The following is a 19,002-nucleotide window of genomic DNA, read 5'->3' as shown; positions in this document are numbered from 1 at the left end:
AGTGGAGTTGAACTAATCTCACCATTCCTACTAAAATAGATGATGGGATATTATGTGTATCATTCATCAATGAGAAGCATTTTTAAAAATAGATAAAAGGGTAATTGAGGCCAAGGGATCAGTGATCCCGACATCCTGAGAGGAGGTGCCAGCCAGAAAGGCGAATCTACTTTAGATTTCGGAGCCACTACTGGTAAAAAATTTTTCTACCTTACATCTGAGTCCTTCAGTTGGTCATCCCAAATGCACTCATCTTTCAGTGTGTCTGCACAGATCAGAGGAAAAACGAGGGATGGGTGGATGAAAAAATAGAAATTCCTATTATTGAGCCACTTACTATATGCCAGATACTGAGATCAGCATTCCTGATCTCATTTAATCCCAACATCTCTATGAGATTATGCACATTTCACAGATAAGAAAACTGAGGCTTGGAGATGTTGAATAATTTGTGTAAAAATATTCAGCCGGAAAATGAGAATTCAAATCCACATCTGGCTAAGTCCATCCTCTTTCACTACGCAGTGCTGTCTTCATTAGTAACCACACCTGTGTTGGAAGTGTTTCTCAGCATAGGTACATAATCAACCTTTAAAGGGGAAGTTTGGTTCTTACATCAAAACAAGACCAAGACCAAGGGACTGAGACAACCAAAACGTTTTAGAATCAAATGAGACTTTAGAGACTAAGTCCTTCCTCCTTATCTGACAGATAAAGAACCTAACGCCTAGGAAGGTTAGGTGGTTTGCCTGTGGGGACGCAGCTCATAAATGGCTGAGCCCCAAGACTAACACAGAAAGCTACAAACTAAGACTATGCCCTTCATCTTTCCTCTTAGCAGGTTGCACTGCCTTTGTTTCCTCTGCATTTTATGAAAAACCATGTTCATCTTCTGCTCTACCACTGTTTTGTTGAGAGTAGGAACTAACAGTTAAATAAAATAAGTGACATGCCGGGCGCAGTGGCTCACGCCTGTAATCCCAGCACTTTGGGAGGCCGAGGCGGGCGGATCACGATGTCAGGAGATCGAGACCATCCTGGCTAACACAGTGAAACCCCGTCTCCACTAAAAATACAAAAAAATTAGCCGGGCGTGGCGGCGTGCGCCGGTTGTCCCGGCTGCTGGGGAGGCTGAGACAGGAGAATGGCGTGAACCCGGGAGGCGGAGCTTGCAGTGAGCCGAGATCGCGCCACTGCACTCCAGCCTGGGTGACAGAGCAAGACTCCATCTCAAAAAAAAAAAAAAGTGACAAAATCGTATGTTCTTTTCTCCAATATTATGAAAACCATAAAACATCGGTATGTCATGTATTCAAAAGAGCTGGACACCAACTCTAATAAACAAAATAAAGACGTATTTATCTCATTTACCTAAAATGTATACATGAAATATGTATTTTCTTAGGATCAATATCATAATGGAATAAAAAAATTCAAAAAGTCGGCTCCATTTCTGCAGAAAATTTACAGCTTCGGGAAAACGCACAGCTGACTCAGATTCTAAGTCTCTCAGAGTCCTGGAGGGTAGGTAGAAGCTGCAGGTGACAGTCTAGCACAACTCATTCCCGTTTATCAAACATCTGTAGAGTGTCTAGTGTGTGGCCGGCATTTAAAAAGGGGAGAGCGGGCTGAAAGACGTGGTCCCTATCCTCGAGGGGCTTACTGATTCTCGGGAACGAAAGCGCTCCGCAGCAGTAACCCTAAGAAGCTCCAAATCCCGGTCCTCTGCCTCCCCTCTGGTCCCCATCCGGCGCTCTGGTACAGCCTCAGCGATCTCTGGCTAGGATGCTCCACGGAGATCTTCCTCCAGGTGGGCGGGGAGACCCAGCCCAGGGAGCTGGAGGCGTGCCCCAAAGCCTACGCCAACAGCCCCAGGGCCGCCCCAAACTCACTCAGGGGCCCCTACAACCCTCTCAACACCTCCCTCCCAAGTCGTCCGCCTCGAAGCCCCCACACCGTGCGGTTACCTCAGGGGTCTCGCGTGATCCGTGCTGCACACCCAAGACCCCAGGGGCCGCTCCAAGTCTCACGGGTGAAAGGAGGCCCAGGCAGCCCACGGGAATAAGAGCAAAAACTGTTGGAACACGACGGACTCCAGGACCCGGGAGGAGGGGGACAAACAGCAAAGGGGTACAGAAGGGGAAGAGCCCCCGGGAGGTGAAGTTTACAACTGCCACTTCCGGAGCTGAAAACACTCCGCTTCTCTCGCAGACCTTCCCAGACTTTCACAGGTCAGCCCAACTCAGGCCCGGCCCCACTTTTTCCTCCCGCCTCCCGCAGCCCTCAGCTTGCAGCTCCTGGATACGTACTCCGAGAACGCTGGCTCGGATTGGAAGAGCCCGCCCGCCAAGCAGCGCGCCTTCGCTGAGGGACGAACGGGCGCATGCGCCGTTGCTGGGGAGCGGCGGGCTCGCGACCGCACGCGCTCTCGCTCCAGGAGCTCCGCGTCCCCGCGCGGGGGTGCGCCCTGCCCACGCGCTGCTGTGGCTTTTCAGCGTGAGGTGTCCGCGTTCCTGTCTCAGTCGCCAGAGCCGAGTGGAAATGCAGATTTCCAGCTTCTAACCCCTTTTCCCTGCCTGCTGAATAAAAACCTAAGAGGTCGGATCCCAGATCCTGCTTTTTGAAACTGGTTCTTCTGCCCATCTTTAGAGCCACAGCAACGGTGGGCTGGTCCCGGGGCCTGGGGAGAAATTCTCTGGGCTCGGGTTCTGCCCAACTGCCTGGTTTACCTCTGTCTGGACAGCTCTCTGCCTGCACAGGGCATCCTGTCCCCTCTTCCCGTCCCCATTGTATCCCAGCTGGGAGTGGTGAGCAGGGTCGGAAGAATGCATTGATGCTGCTTGCAGTGCGTTTCATTATCAACATTACGTAACCAGGCACATCGTGGAAAACGCCTCGGAGCCTTAGCATGTGTGTTCCCTATCTCTTTCCTCGCTTCTCTCACTTTTCTCTGACACACACACACACACACACACACACACACACACACACACACACACCGTCCTCTTATTGATAATTTATACTTTGGTTCCTCCCGGTGGCTGCTTCACAATCTGCTGCCGCCTAAGGGAGACTGGAAAACCAACTCCTCTTTTGTTCCTTAACTTTTGAAAGCCTATTCTTCCAGAGAACAATGCAAATTGACAGGATTTGGTCAAAGATTTTTATCTTCACCACCACCACCTCCTCTGCACAAAAAGGTGTTTAATGCAAAACGAGCCTTCTATACTAAACTGGGTCCTTGTTGATTGTAATCAACCTGAAACCAGGTGTAGGGGCCGTCTTTTCTCTCTCCCATGGGAGAGCCAACGGTCATAAATGCAAACACAAATTGAGATTAAAACCTCCTTGATTCTTGTAGCACTGAAACCTTAATTGGTTTGATTTTAGTCATTTACATCTAAAACGGAGGCCTGTCCCTGATTCTTTTTACTAGAGCCATAAAGAGGACAATTGCTCCAGAGGAAATAAAGGGAAAAAATAGCCCACTCTAAAGTTTAGAAATGAAATGGAAAATTACAACTGACTAATGAGATTAGAACTTTTATGTTACAAGCTTTAAAAAATATTTTTAAATTTTATTTTTTTCTTTTTCTTTTTTTTTTTTTTTTTTTTGAAACAGGGTTGTTCTCTGTTGCCCAGGCTAGAGTACAGCGGCACAATCACGCCTCGCTGCAGCCTAGACCTTCAGGACTCAAGCCATCCTCCTGCCTCAGCCTCCTGAGTAGCTGGAACTACTTAAAATTTCATTTGTGTTGGCCGGGCGCGGTGGCTCACGTCTGTAATCCCAGCACTTTGGGAGGCCGAGGTGGGCGGATCATGAGGTCAGGGGACCGAGACCATCCTGGCTGACACGGTGAAACCCTGTCTCTACTAAAAATACAAAAAAAATTAGCTGGGCGTGGTGGCGGGCGCCTGTAGTCCCAGCTACTCGGGAGGCTGAGGCAGGAGAATGGCGTGAACCCGGGTGGTGGAGCTTGCAGTGAGCCGAGATTGCGTCACTGCACTCCAGCCTGGGCGACAGAGCGCGACTCCGTCTCAAAAAAAAAAAAAAAAAAATTATTTGTGTTTTAACAAAGTCACAAAAGTGAATATTGTATCGCAAGAATAAATGCTATGTACTATATTGTATGTTTTTGAAATGAAAAATGGATGTGATGTGAAGACCCGTTTTCATTTATTTGTTCATTCAGCATTTACAGAATACAGACTATGTACCCAACATGGAGCTAGATGATAGAAATACAGGGGAATATTGATATCAACCCTGAGCTCCCAGAAATGATTCATAGAAAAGAACTTTGAGCTTAGTTTAAGAAGACCGTTAAAGATTTATGAAGCTAACAAGGAACTAGAAGGAAGACACGGAAGCTGCAAACACCAGCATAAGAACCAGCACCAGACATTTGAAAAGCTGGAAAAAGCTGTCTGTGCAAAGGAGGTGTGAGCGATGAGGCTAGAGAAATATGCAGAACCCAGATCACAGAGGAATTTCTACATCATACTTAGGAGTTTATCAAGCAATGAAGCTAATGAAGGGTTTTAAGCAGAAAAAATATAAAAATTACACAATAAATCAGACCATTTCAAAATGCGTGGAGATTCTCTGTTGTCTTTTATTTGCTTAACATGCTACTACTACTTGAAAAAAGCTATATAAAGAGATGTTCTCCTACCCGCTTATCTTTTGGCCTCAACATCACTTCATTTCTCTCTCTTCTTTCTACCAATCCTTTTGAGATATGATTAGATTCATTCATTCACACCACTCTACCAATAGCTTCCAAAGTCAGTAGTGACCTCATTGCCAAATCTGAGACCCCTTGACTTTGCTGACACATGTTGATCCTCAGATGCCTCTCCAGCAAAGGTGAGACTCTATACTCCATTGTTTCTCCAACTCTCTGAACTTTCTGCTGCTGCTCAGGAAACCATTCTTCCCTTCCTGCCCCTCAAAGTGATATTTTCTCAGTTTCTGCCCTCAACCTTCCCATCGTTTGTACCAGATAAGCGTCCTCAGTGATGTCATCCATTCCTGCAAGTATGAACTCCATATCCCCAATATTCAACTCTTTATATCCATCTCTGACCTCTCCTGAGCTCTAGTTTTGAATTTTTAACCCCGGTTTGAACAGTGCCACTCTAATTTCTGGAAATACTTAATTTAATATAACTAAATTTTAATTATCTTTCTAACTTCTTGTGGGAATCCTCTAAACTACTCTCCCACCTGTTTATAAAACTTCTAATCTCCTAGACACCCAGGCAAGAAAAACCCTAAAAATTTTGTTTGCGTCTTTCTCTCTCAAACTCTCACTTCCTGCATGCAGGATTCCTACTTTTTCTCTAAACCTCATGTCTTCTTTCTGTGCCTACTTAGTACTAAGCAACTTCATTTGTCTGTTTCCTTATTGCTTCCTATTGAGACACTCATAATTAGGACCTTCCTTGTGGCCCAATGCAAGTCACTCACCTTCCCCTTCTGTGCAAATTCTTGACATTTTTAGAAGTTGACCATTAACATCTAGGGCATTTTTAAACTGGCATATATAAGAAGAGAGGATCAAAAAAATAGAAAAAAATCAAAAGCAGGTCTAAGAACACCTGTATCTTTATGAAACTAGGGGAGTGTAATAAACTGATTGTACGTATGTGAGCCTCAGAGTTTTAAAGCACCAGATGAACCACATTCTTTTGACCCTTCTGTAACCTCCCCTAGAAGGTTTAAATACCAGGTTTTGATTATTATTTTTTTTAATTATACTTTAAGTTCTGGGGTACATGTGCAGAATGTGCAGGTTTGTTACATAGCTATACATGTGCCATGGTGGTTTGCTGCACCCATCAACCCGTCATCTACATTAGGTATTTTTCCTAATGCTATCCCTCCCCTAGTCTCCCACCCCCCACCCCCCACCCCACAGCTTCTTGATTATTATGCTGCCTTGGTATCAATTCGTAGAACTGAAAGGCCTTGCCATAATTGTTGCTCTCAGTGGCTCTGGTCCTATGCTCCTTCTATATGCTAAAACGGAAATATCCTTCTAAAGCATAACTCTGATTATGTTACTATACTGATTATTTCTTTTGGTGGCCCCTCAATTGCTGCCTGGATAAAACCCAGATTTTCTGCTGTCAGTCAAGGGCCCTAATCTCCCTACCCGCCTTTCCAGACTTGCTTTTTCTGACCTTGCAATAAATCTTCCTTCTCATTCTTACATTAGCAAAAGAAAACACAAAATGTTTGGGAATAAATGTAATAAGAGGTAGGCATGGGCTTGTGTTAAAAGTATTAAGATACATAGGTTAATATACAAGATTTAAATCCAGATAATATTATTTTGTGTTTGTTTTTTAAATTTATATGTTTTTTATTTTCAGAGACAGGGTTTCATTATGTTGCCTAGGCTGATCTCAAGTGATCCGCCCACCTTGGCCTCCCAAAGTGCTGGGATTATAGGTGTGAACCACCACTCTTAGCCAAATAACATTATTAAACATGTAATATGTGCCAAGCACTATACTAAGGGGTTTCACATTTGCTATGGTTTGAATGTGTCCCCCAAATTACAATGACTTCTAATTCTAAGCATTAAAGTGAAAGGAAGACACACCTAAAGCTAGAAATGATTAGCTTAGTGAGGAAGGCATGTCAAAATCCGAGACAGGCTGAGAGCTAGGCCTCTTGCGCCAAATGGTAGCCAAGGTATTAATGCACAGGAAAAATTCTTGAAGGAAATTAGGCCAGGTGTGGTGGCTCAAGCCTGTAATCCCAGCACTTTGGGAGGCTGAGGCAGGGGAATGCCAGCACTTTGGGAGGCTAAAATGGGAGGCAAGGAATTTGAGTCTAGCCTTGGTGACAGGATGAGACTCCAGTGGACACACAAATTATAAGAACGTGAAACAGCCTTATTAGTGATATGAAGAAAGTTGTAGTGTCTAGGTAGAAGATCAAACCAGCAACACTCCCTGAATTAGGCCAAAGCTTAATTCAGAGTAAGACCCAAACTCTCTTAAATTCTGCGAAGGCTGAGAGAGGTGAAGAAGCTGCAGAAGAAAAGTTGGAAGCTAGCAGAAATTGGTTCATAAGTTTTAAAGAAAGAAGCCTTCTTTGTAACATTCAAGTGCAAAGTAAACCAACAAGTGCTGATGTAGCAGCTGCAACAAGTTATCCAGAAGATGTAGCTAAGATCATTGATGATGACTATTCTGAACAACAGATTTACAATGTACAGAAAACAGCCTTCTATCGGAAGATGATCCCTACAGAAGTGAAGTGAATGCCTGGCTTCAGAGATTACAAGAATAGGCTGACTCTTGTTAGGGACCAATGCAGCTGGTAATTTAAGTTAAAACCAGTGCTTATTTACCATTCCAAAAATCCTAGCACCCTGAAAAATTGGGCTAATCTGGCCAGGCGCAGTGGCTCACGCCTGTAATCCCAGCACTTTGGGAGGCCAAGGCAGGTGGATCACCTGAGGTCAGGAGTTTGAGACCGGCCTGACCAACATAGAGAAACCCCATCTCTACTAAAAATACAAAATTAGCTGGGCGTGGTGGTGCACGCCTGTAATCTCAGATACTCAGGAGGCTGAGACATGAGAATCGCTTGAACCCAGGAGACAGAGGTGGCAGTGAGCCGAGATCACGCCATTGCACTCCAGCCTGGGCAACAGGAGTGAAACTCCGTCTCAAAAAAAAAAAGAAAGAAAGAAAGAAAAATTACACTAATCTAGTCTGCCTGTGCTCTGTTAATGAAACAACAAAGCCTGGATGACAGTACATCTCTTATGGCATGTTTACAGAGTATTTTAAGCCTACTGTAGAGACTTACTGCTCAGAAAAAAAGATTACTTTCAAAATATTACTGTTCATTGACAGTGCACTTGGTCAACCAAGAGCTCTGATGGCTATGTACCAGGAGATTGATACTGTTTTCATGCCTGCTAACACAACATCCATTCTGCAGCCCATGGATCAGTGAAGATTTTTGACCTTCTTTTTTTTTTTTTTTTGAGACAGAGTCTCGCTCTTCTGCCCAGGCTGGAGTGAAGTGGCGCGATCTCGGCTCACTGCAAACTCCATCCCCGGGTTCAAACAACTGTCCTGCCTCAGCCTCCCAAGTAGCTGAGATTACGGGCACACACCACCACGCCCAGCTAATTTTTGTATTTTTAGTAGAGACGGGGTTTTGCTATATTGGCCAGGCTGGTCTCGAACTCCTGACCTCAGGTGATCCACCTGCCTTGGCCTCCCAAAGGAGAATTATAGGCATGAGCCACTGTGCCCAGCCGAATTTTGACTTCCAAGTATTATTATTTAAGAAATCTATTTTGGCCAAGAGCGGTGGCTCATGCCTGTAATCTCAACACTTTGGGAGGCCGAGGTGGGTGGATCACTTGAGGTCAGGAGTTTGAGACCAGCCTGGCCAACATGGTGAAACCCCGTCTCTACCAAAAATACAAAAATTAGCTGGGCATGGTGGTGCATGCCTATAATCCCAGCTACTCAGGAGGCTGAGGCAGGAGAATCGCTTTAACCTGGGAGACGGAGGTTGCAGTGAGCTGAGATCGTGCCACTGTACTCCAGCCTGGTAAACAGAATGAGACTCCATCTCAAAAAAAAAAAAAAAGAGTCCGGGCACGGTGGCTCATGCCTGTAATCCCAACACTTTAGGAGGCCGAGGAGGGCAGATCATGAGGTCAGGAGATCGAGACCATCCTAACACAGTGAAACCCCACCTCTACTAAAAACACAAAAAATTAGCTGGGCGTAGTGGTGGGTGCCCGTAGTCCCAGCTACTCGGAAGGCTGAGACAAGAGAATGACACGAACCCAGGAGGCAGAGCTTGCAGTGAGCCGAGATCGCACCACTGCACTCCAGCCTGGGCTACAGAGCGAAACTCCATCTCAAAAAATAAAAATAAATTAATTAATTAATTTTAAAAAAAAGAAAAGAAAGACATTTCATAAGACTATGCTGCCATAGATAGTGATTCTTCTGATGGATCTGGGCAAAGTAAATTGAAAACTTTCTGGAAAAAATTTACCATTCTAGATGCCAGTGAGAACATGTGTGATTCATGGGAGGAGGTAAAAAATGTCACTTTTTTTTTTTTTTTTAAGAGATAGGGTCTTGAAGCAGGGGCAGGTGGATCACTTGAGGTCAGAAGTTCAAGATCAGCCTGGCCAACATGGTAAAACCCTGTCTCTACTAAAAATAGAAAAATTAGCCCACAGTGGTGATGCATGCCTGTAGTCCCAGCTACTTGGGAGGCTGAGGCAAGAGAATGGCTTGATCCTGGGAAGTGGAGGTTGCAGTGAGCCAAGATTATGCTATTGCACTCCAGCCTGGGCAACAGAGGAAGACTCTGTCTCAAAAAAAAAAAAAAAAAAAAAAAAAGAGTGAGAGAGTGATATAAGGTCTTGCTTTGTGGTCCAGGCTGGAGTGCAGTGGTGGTGTGATCATGGCTCACTGCAGCCTGAAACTCCTGCAGTCAAGCAATCCTCCTTCCTCAGCCTTCCCAGTTGCTAGGATTATAGGAACACACCACACTACCACACCTGGCTAATTGTTTTTTAAGTTTTTTTAGAGACAAATTCTCATGTATTGCCCAGGGTGGTCTCAAACTCCTGGGCTCAAATGATCCTCCCACCTCAGCGTACCAAAATGCTGAGATTACAGGCATGAGTCACTGCATGCAGCTAAAATGTCAACATTAACAGGAGTTTGAAAAAAGTTTATTCCAACCCTCATAGATGACTTTTAGGGGTTTAATTCTTCAGTTGAGGAAATCACTGCAGAGGTGGTAGAAATAGCAAGAGGACTAGAATTAGAAGTGATGCCTGAAAATGTGACTGAATTGTTGCAATCTCATCATAAAACTTAAACAAATGAGGAGTTGCTTCTCATGAATAAGCAAAGAAGGTGGCTTCTTTTTTTTTTCTTTTTAATTTTATTTTACTTTATGTTCCAGGATACATGTGCAGAACGTGCAAGTTTGTTACATAGGTAAACGTGTGCCATGGTGGTTTGCTGCATCTATCAACTCATCACCTAGGTATTAAGCCCCACATACATTAGCTATTTGTCCTGATGCTCTCCCTGCCCCCTGCCCGCTGCCCCCCGACAGGCCCCAGTGTGTGTTGTTCCCCTCCCTGTGTCCATGTGTTCTTGTTGCTCAGCTCCCACTTATGAGTGGGAACATGCGGTGTCTGCTTTTTGGTCCTGTGTTAGTTTGCTGAGGATGATGGCTTCCAGCTTCATCCATGTCCCTGCAGAGGACATGATCTCCTTCCTTTTTATGGCTGCGTAGTATTCTATGGTGTCTATGTGCCACATTTTCTTTATTCAGTGTATCATTGATGGGTATTAAGGTTGATTGCATGTCTTTGCTATTGTGAATAGTGCTGCAATAAACATACCTGTGCATGTATCTTTATAACAGAATGATTTATATTCCTTTGGGTATATACCCAATAATGGGATTGCTGGGTCAAATGGTATTTCTGGTTCTAGATCCTTGAGGAATCGCCACACTATCTTCCACAGTGGTTGAACTAATTTACATTCCCACCAAGAGCGTAAAAACATTCCTTTTTCTCCACAGCCTCACCAGCATCTGTTGTTTCTTGACTTTTTAATAATCTCCATTCTGACTGGCATGAGATGGTATCTTATTGTGCTTTTGATTTGTATTTCTCTAATGATCAGTGAGGTTGAGCTTTTTTGCATGTTTGTTGGCTGCATAAATGTCTTCTTTTAAGAAGTGTCTGTTCATGTTCTTTGCCCACTTTTTGATGGGGTTGTTTGTTTCTTTTTCTTGTAAATCTAAGTTCCTTGTAGATTCTGGATATTAGACCTTTGTCACTTGGGTAGATTGGAAAAATTTTCTCCCATTCTGTAGGTTGCCTGTTTGCCCTGATGATAGTTTCTTTCGCTGTGCAGAAGCTCTTTAATTAGATCCCATTTGTCAAAAAATGTGGAACACTTCACAAATTTGCATGTCATCCTTGCTCAGGGGCCATGCTAATCTTCTCTACATCATTCCAGTCTTAGTATATGTGCTGCTGAAACAAGCACAGAAAGTGGTTTCTTGAGATGGAATCTGCTCCTGGTGAAGATGCCGTGAACATTGTTGAAATGACAAGAATTTATTATTTATTTATTTTATTTTATTTTTTGACATAGGGTCTCACATTGCTGCGCAGGCTGGAATGCAGTGGCATGATCACCGCTCACCGCAGCCTTGTCCTCCCAGGCTCAAGTAGTCCTCCCACCTCAGCCTCCCAAGTAGCTGGTACTACACGTGTGCACCACCACACCCATTTTTTTGTAGAGACAGAGTCTCGCTCTGTTGCCCAGTCTGAAGTGCAATGGCATGCTCACAGCTCACTGCAGCTCCGACCTCTTGAGCTTCAGCAATCCTCCCAGCTCAGCCTCCTTAGTAGCTGGTACTGCAAGCTTGTGCCACTACATCCAGGTCTATTTTTGTATTTTTTGTAAAGATGGGGTTTTACCATGTTACCCAGGCTTATCTCAAACTCCTGGGCTCAAGTAATCCTCCTGCCTCAGCCTCCCAAAGTTCCGGGATTATAGGCATGAGCCACTGCCAGATCTCTATTGCATACTTAATAGACTACAGAATAGTGTGAACATAACTTTTATATGCACTGGGAAAGCAAAATATTTGTGTGACTCACTGTATTGCAATGTTTGCTTTACTATGGTGGTCTGGAGCTCAACCTGCAAAGTCTCCAAGGTATACCTGTGTATGACATTCTGGAAAATCAAACTAGGAAGAAAGCAAGAAGATCAGAGGTTGCCAAGATGTTGGTAGGGGAAGGGATGAATAGGCAGAGCACGAACAATTTTTACGCCAGTGAAGCTGCTCTGTATGCTACTGTAATGGTGGATTATAAATTTCTCTAAATCCATGAATATACAACACCAAGAGTGAGCCCTAATGTAAACTACAGACTTTGGGTGATTATGATTATGATGATTCATGGATTGCAGCAAATGTAGCTCTCTGGTGGAAGATGCTGAAAACAGGGGAAGTTGCGCATGTGTGGGGGAAGGGTGTGTATGAGAAATCTCAGTGCTTTCTGTTTAATTCTGCTGTGAACCTAAAACTGCTCTTAAAGTCTTTTAAAAAAATAAATAAAAATACATATACATAAAAATATGTAAAATATCCTCAAAGTCCAACTTCTCTACTCCAGATCTAAAAACATTTAAGAATGTGTTTTATTTCTTTATAGATATTTTGATGTATAAATAAATACCTAATTTTTGGCCAGGCACAGTGGCTCATGCTTGTAATCCCAGTACTTTGGGAGGCCAAGGTGGGTTGATCACTTGAGGCCAGGAGTTCCAGACAAGCCTGGCCAATATGCAGAAACCCTGTCTCTACTGAAAATGCAAAAGTTAGCTGGGTGTGGTAGCACACGCATGTAATCCCAGCTTCTTGGGAGGCTGAGGCACAAGAATGGCTTAACCTGGGAGGCGGAATTTGCAGTGAGCCAAGATCACACCATTACACTCCAGCCTGGGTCACAAGAGCAAGACTCTGTCTCAAAACAAAAACAAAAACAAAAAATACTTCTGTTTTTTACAGATAGGGGGTCTCACTATGATACCCAAGCAGGCCTCAAACTCCTGGCCTCAAGTGATTCTCCCACCTCAGTCTCCCAAGTAGCTGGGACTACAGGCATGAACCACCACACCCAGCTATATTTTTAAAATAATAAGCATTTATTTATTTATTGCTATATTTATTCACATGTACACACATACACATTAGTAGCAGACACTGTTAGTTGCTTATCTATTCCCTACCCCACCCTTGCTGATAAACCCTGATTTGTTTGTAGCAGTTATAGGTACGACTCCAGAAGATGCATGTTCGACTCTTGGCTATCCCGTTTCCTGCTGCCAGCTCCTGGCGCTCCCAGGCTCCCTTGTAGCTAGGGTTGGCTATGTGAACAGTTCTGAACAATGAAATATAAGGGCACATTTACTGAGATAAGAATAAAAAGAGCCTTGATCCTCGATGACATAATTAGTTGCTGACCCTTTCCTGAACTGCCTACTACCGCTGATCTCCCCTGATCTCCTTGTAGTAAGCAATAAATGGCCTTAGAGTTTAAGCCTGTGCTAGTCATGTTTTCTGTTACTTGAAGCCAGTGGCATGCTAGTAAACTAGCTCTGGGGGAGGGAAAAAGTTCCCCTGATTTGTAGTCTTTGCTGACTTCCTTGATGTAAATACTTTAAATGCTCTCACTATGGCCAATTTTAAACAACCAACATGAAGCTTGACTGCACTTGTGAAGAAATGTGCACATTTGGCTCTCAAGAGCCCTGTGCTCTCTCAAGCAAATATGAACCAGCTCTGGCACATCACCGCTTAAAGCCAAACAAATGCTAACATATGCATTGTAATTCTATACTTTTTCTTTACTTAATAAGCATAGACATTTCTATGTTGATATGAAAAAAAATACCCTTTTATGACTGCATAATGACCTATTTTATAAATGCCCATAATTTATCCATTTAGATGTTTATTAACTTATTCCTTTTATTTAAAAAATTAAACACTGTCTGTCTACGTATATTTCACATATTTGTCTTTTTTTATTTTTATTTTTATTTTTTTTTCTTTTTGAGATGGGGTCTCGCTCTGTCACCAGGCTGCAGTGCAGTGGGGCAATCTCAGCTCACTGCAACTTCTGCCTCCCAGGTTCAAGTGATTCTTCTGCCTCAGCCTCCCGAGTAGCTGGGACTACAGGTGCACGCCACCACACCCAGCTAATTTTGTTTTTTTGTTTTGTTTTGTTTTGTTTTTTGTATTTTTAGTAGAGATGGGGTTTCACCATGTTGGCCAGGATGGTCTTGATCTCTTGACCTTGTGATCTGCCTGCCTTGGTCTCCCAAAGTGCTGGGATTACAGGCGTGAACCACCATGCTCGGCCATATTTGTCTCTTTAAAATGATAGTAAAAAAAAAATGACAGTAAAGAGCTGGGCATGGTGGCTCATGCCTGTAATTCTAACACTTTGGGAAGCTGAGTAGGGGGGGAATCACTTGAGCCTAGAAGTTAAAGACTAGCCTGGGCAAGATAATGAGATCTCATCTCTACAAAAAATACAAAAATTAACCCGCATGCTAGCACATGCCTGTAGTCCCAGCTATTTAGGAGGGTGAGTTGGGAGGATGGCTTGAACCAGGTTGAGGCTGCAGTGAACCGTGATAGAGCCACTGAACTACAGTGTGGGTGACAGAGTGACATACTGTACCAAAAAAAAAAAGAGAAGAAGAAAAGAAATGCTTTACAACAATTCCCTTACTGTGCCCACCAATATCAAGCTACTGTATCATAAACTGTGCCCAATCCTCATCGTATTTCTGACATTCCCTGAAAGTATTCAGCCCAAGCTCTAAAACTCTACAAATAATTGACTCTAATTTTCTGTTTTGAGACACTGCTAAGGCTCAGTCAAGGTGGTATACTTTCTTAATGAAATAAATCTAATACACTTAACTTTGCTTAATCAACAGTTTTTATAATGAGCTTTTGAGGAGTCACTATTTGACAACATATTTTAATTATTTAAACATACTACCAGGTTACCTTCCAGGAAGATTGTATCAACTTAAACAAATAATAACATTGGGTGAAAGTATCCACTTCCTTCTCCACTAGATATTTTCTCAGTATCGAAACCTTTCCGATCTGATAAGCAAAAAGTGATATATCGTTATTCTATTGTCCTTTTAATTTACATTTATCTGATTATTAATGAAGTTTAGTAATATCTAGAAATGACACTTTTATGTAACTGGAAGCACGAAATCACTACTACACCACCACTGCCATCACAAATTAGAGAGGAGAATTGTACCAAGTCTAAGATGTTAGCTTATAACCTTACAATGAATAATTGAAATGCTCTGGCCAAGATTCACTAGGCAAGGTAACATCCCCTACATAAGCCTATTGTTAAGAATTGAGCCTATTTATTATTACTCCTCGCGGGTCTAAACAGAGTATAATTGAAAAGCAAAAATTAAGGAGTAGGAGTGAGGGCAATGGTGGAAGAAAGACACTAAAATCAGTATGTATAGCAATGTAATGACTCCAATATAAGTAGTGGTGTTCTTGCAAATTACGGGCAATAGGAAAGTGTTACTCTTTCAAGTTTAGACTAGCATTCTCCAGTATTTATCCTCAAGTTATTTATTTATTTATTTATTTATTTATTTATTTAATTTTATTTTTTGAGACAGAGTCTCGCTCTATCATCCAGGCTGGAGTGCAGCGGCGCAATCTCGGCTCACTGCTAACTCCACCTCCCGGGTTCACGCCATTCACCTGCCTCAGCCTCCCGAGTAGCTGGGACTACAGGAGCCCGCCACCACGCTTGGCTAATTTTTTTGTATTTTTAGTAGAGACGGGGTTTCACCGTGTTAGCCAGGATGGTCTCGATCTCCTGACCTTGTGATCCGCCCGCCTCGGCCTCCCAAACTGCTGGGATTACAGGCGTGAGCCATCGCGCCAGGCTCCTCAAGTGATTTAAGTGTATATATTTCTAATCCAATAGTTACCTACCCAATAGACTTCCAAACAAAATTAAAAAGATATGTGCAGTTATCTCTCGTGAGAAGATCTGAAAGAGGTCCAAATTTGCTATTGGCCCGCATGGGACTGCAAGACAGGACTTCATCTCCTAAAGCTTACCTTAGACTTCCTTGTTGCTGCTCTGAGCCATTGCTCTTGAAGAAATGACTCAAATTTAAAGAACCATACTCCTGGAGAGGAGAATGTCTCCTACAGTGAGACCATCTAACAGTGGTTAGAAGGTGGGATTTCCTCTCCAAAAAAGGAAGCACTATTACAGAAAGGAGGGTAGACCTAAGGAATGAAGAGAAAAGTTAAGAGCCAAGTGAGTCTATAATGGAGCCCTGGGCAGTGTATAACTTCTTGGGAACCTTTGCTTCCAACTTTGCGAAAAGTCACATCTGGTCTATAGTTTCACATGTTAACTCCTCTTAGAGCAACTAACAGCTTTATAATTGGAGCTGTAGATGGAAGTGAGGACCAATCTATGAAGCAAGCTAAGCCGGCCTCATGTTACCTTCTTTTAGTCTATAGAAGCTTTTGTGGAGTTGTCAGCATTGATGTAAGACGAAATCACAGTTAATGAGTTCTAGATTGTAACCAGTGCAACCAAAGAGGGATTGAGGGATCACTGACAGAGAAGCAGTGGTCAACTTGGAAGCAACTATGAGAAAAATTCCTCTCCTTTTAAAACATATACTTGGTTTGGGCACGGTGGCTCACCCATGAAATCCTAGCACTCCGAGAGGCCAAGGGGGGCAGATACCTTGAGTCCAAGAGTTCAAGACCAGAATGACTGACATGGCAAAACCCCATCTCTACTAAAAATACAAATGTTAGCTGGGTGTGGTGGTGTATGCCTGTAGTCCCAGCTACTTGGGAGGCTGAGGCAGGAGGATAGCTTTAGCCCTGGAGCCGGAGGTTGTGGTGAGCAATGATCATGCCACTGCGTTCCAGCCTGGGTGATGAAGCCAGACCCTCTCTCAAAACAAAGACCCCCAACCCAAAAAACACATATACTTGAGAAGGTTGACATTTCCTTTAAAGTGGAATGAAAGTTTAATAGACGTGTGTGTACGTGTTTCTGGATTTTTTATTCTGTTCAATGGATCTATCTATGTTCCAATACCGCACTGTTTTAACTACTGTACCTTTGTAGTACTTTTTTTTTCTTTTTTTTTTTTTTGAGACAAGGTCTTGCTCTGTCATTCAGGCTGTAGTGCAGCAACACAATCTCAGCTTACCACAGCCTCGACCTCCCTGGCCTAAGCTATCCTCCCACCTCAGCCTCCTGAGTATCTGGGACTCCAGGCACAGGCCCCCAAGCCCGGCTAATTTTTGCATTTTTCAAGTAGAGACAGGGTTTCACCATATTGCCAAGGCTGGTCTCAAACTTCTGAGCTCAAGCAGTCTGCCTGCCTCGGCTTCCCAAAGTGCTGACATTTCAAGCATGAGCCACTGCACCTGACTGTAGTACCTCTTTTAACTGCTAAATTGTCTGTCCTTACTTTTTAAAAATGTTCTTGGCTATTCTAATGCATCCATTAATTCAGATTCATTCAGCAAATATTTACCCAACACCTACTATTTCCTAGATGTTTTAGGTGCTAGGCATAGAAAAGTGAAAAATACACCCAAAAATATCTGCTCTCACATTGCTTGCATTTTAGTGAGGGGACACAAGTGATAACTGAAACCAACATAATCCTACATCCATGGGGACAAACATGCTTTCATTCCCTATGTTAAATAATATTGACACCAAGCAAAAATAACTAGCTTATTTGCTCTGGAAAATATTTCTTGAAGATAAGATTGTGAACCAGCTAAACAACTTATTTATCAAGACTAACAGCTTTCTCTTTAAAACTTGCCTTGATATCTTCCTCTTCCCAACAATCCAACTATCCCAACAAGTTTCTTACAAGCAAAATTCACCTGAAAAATCACCCTATTAAAGGCCTTTTCCTAATTTCCTCACTGCAAAGAACTACTGAGGTAGGTTTAGGTAATGGCCTTGATACCTAGACAAGAAAAAAAGCTAGATACTTAGAGCTCCTGGCATGATGAGTTCAAAAGTCTTTTTTGAAAATGTTTTATATGTAAATACTGAGGGTTTTTTTTTATAATTTTAGAAGTCTATGTAATATTACTGATAGATGATTCTTTGAACATTTTATAGTGATAAAATTTTAGCTTAAAACCAACTTTATGCCTTCTCCCTGACTTTTTCAGAAAATAAAAAGTTGACCCAATATTTTGTTTAATGCAAGACTTGGGTTTCGTTTCTCATTTAAACTTCTAAAATTTCTACTAATGTAGGATTAATATCCTATCAGCCCAGTAAGTTATCATTTTTACAGATGGTTTAAGATTACAAACATGAAATTGTATTTAGCTGAATGAAATAATAGATTTATCAAGAATTAAAATTCTTGAATTAAGAAAAATTAAATGAATTTTTAAAATATTTTAATTTTCTATTAATTTTAGTTTTTATTTTTGTAGAGATGGGGGTTCTCAATTTGTTGCCCAGGCTGGTCTCAAACTCCTGAGCTCAAGCCATTCTCAGCTTCCCAAAGTGCTCGAATTGCAGGCATGAGTCACTGAGCACAGGCTCTTGGATGCTTTTTTTTTTTTTTGAGACGGAGTCTGGCTCTGTCGCCCAGGCTGGAGTGCAGTGGCGCGATCTCGGCTCACTGCAAGCTCTGCCTCCCGGGTTCACGCCATTCTCCTGCCTCAGCCTCCCGAGTAGCTGGGACTACAGGTGCCCGCCACCACGCCCGGCTATTTTTTTGTATTTTTAGTAGAGATGGGGTTTCTCCGTGTTAGCCAGGATGGTCTCGATCTTCTGACTTCGTGATCCGCCCATCTCGGCCTCCCAGAGGGCTGAGATTACAGGCGTGAGCCACCGCACCCAGCCAGCTCATGGATTCTGATAATACAAATGATAAGGACTCAATGGCCTGACCTAAATTCTAATTTCCAGATTTTTAATCAACTTTAAGACATTAAACTAATATTAAAATAAATTAACAAATATACTGTAATTACCCAAATTATTTTATTTTATTTATTTATTTATTTTTTTGGAGACTAAGTCTCACTCTGTTGCCCTGGCGCTCCGGAATGCAGTGGCGTGATCTTGGCTCACTGCAACTTCTGTCTCATGAGTTCAAGCGCCAAATCATTTTATATAAAAAAGAAAACAAAACACTGAACACTAAGCATAACTTTAAATTATTTCTAGGCCGGGCACGGTGACTCAGCCTGTAGTCCCAGCTCTTTGGGAGGCCAAGGCAGGTGGATTGCTTGAGCTCGGGGCTTCGAGACCAGCCTGGGCAATGTGGCAAAGCCTCGTCTCTACCAAAATTCAAAAC

The 19,002-nt window shown here is 42.9% G+C and overlaps 1 protein-coding gene and 1 pseudogene across 31 annotated transcripts in view, besides 5 other annotated features; both read right to left on the bottom strand.

Annotated features, from left to right (window-relative positions):
- CCDC171 (coiled-coil domain containing 171) overlaps nucleotides 1-2,385 on the bottom strand; it is a 556,042-nt gene extending 553,657 nt beyond the window's left edge. For 23 of the 31 annotated variants that reach the window (XR_007061261.1, XR_001746227.3, XR_001746228.3 and 20 more), the window contains exon 1: nucleotides 1,968-2,227. The gene's annotated coding sequence lies outside the window, so the exon portion shown is untranslated. Of the gene's footprint in view, nucleotides 1-1,663; nucleotides 1,804-1,967; nucleotides 2,228-2,309 lie in introns of those variants that run through there. The other 8 variants (XM_047422930.1, XM_047422935.1, XM_005251397.3 and 5 more) reach the window with 2 other exon arrangements.
- Nucleotides 1,920-2,089: an enhancer, noted in NCBI's record as "active region_28215". NCBI's record gives its function as "activates an Ori minimal core promoter by ATAC-STARR-seq in GM12878 lymphoblastoid cells {active_cell/tissue: GM12878}" and the evidence as "EXISTENCE:reporter gene assay evidence [ECO:0000049][PMID:35858748]".
- Nucleotides 1,920-2,630: a biological region, named in NCBI's record as "NANOG-H3K27ac-H3K4me1 hESC enhancer GRCh37_chr9:15552638-15553283".
- Nucleotides 1,985-2,630: an enhancer, noted in NCBI's record as "NANOG-H3K27ac-H3K4me1 hESC enhancer chr9:15552638-15553283 (GRCh37/hg19 assembly coordinates)". NCBI's record gives its function as "activates a minimal SCP1, AML or CMV promoter by ChIP-STARR-seq in naive H9 embryonic stem cells {active_cell/tissue: H9 hESC(naive)}" and the evidence as "EXISTENCE:reporter gene assay evidence [ECO:0000049][PMID:30033119]".
- Nucleotides 2,370-2,459: a silencer, noted in NCBI's record as "silent region_19787". NCBI's record gives its function as "represses an Ori minimal core promoter by ATAC-STARR-seq in GM12878 lymphoblastoid cells {active_cell/tissue: GM12878}" and the evidence as "EXISTENCE:reporter gene assay evidence [ECO:0000049][PMID:35858748]".
- Nucleotides 2,470-2,529: a silencer, noted in NCBI's record as "silent region_19786". NCBI's record gives its function as "represses an Ori minimal core promoter by ATAC-STARR-seq in GM12878 lymphoblastoid cells {active_cell/tissue: GM12878}" and the evidence as "EXISTENCE:reporter gene assay evidence [ECO:0000049][PMID:35858748]".
- On the bottom strand, nucleotides 10,976-11,082 carry RNU6-246P (RNA, U6 small nuclear 246, pseudogene; annotated as a pseudogene).

This window comes from Homo sapiens, chromosome 9 (genome assembly GCF_000001405.40).
Source record: "Homo sapiens chromosome 9, GRCh38.p14 Primary Assembly".
Taxonomy (NCBI): Eukaryota; Metazoa; Chordata; class Mammalia; order Primates; family Hominidae; genus Homo; species Homo sapiens.
The sequence above is the reverse complement of the archived record's forward strand: the minus strand, read 5'-3'. Positions and strand labels throughout refer to the sequence as shown.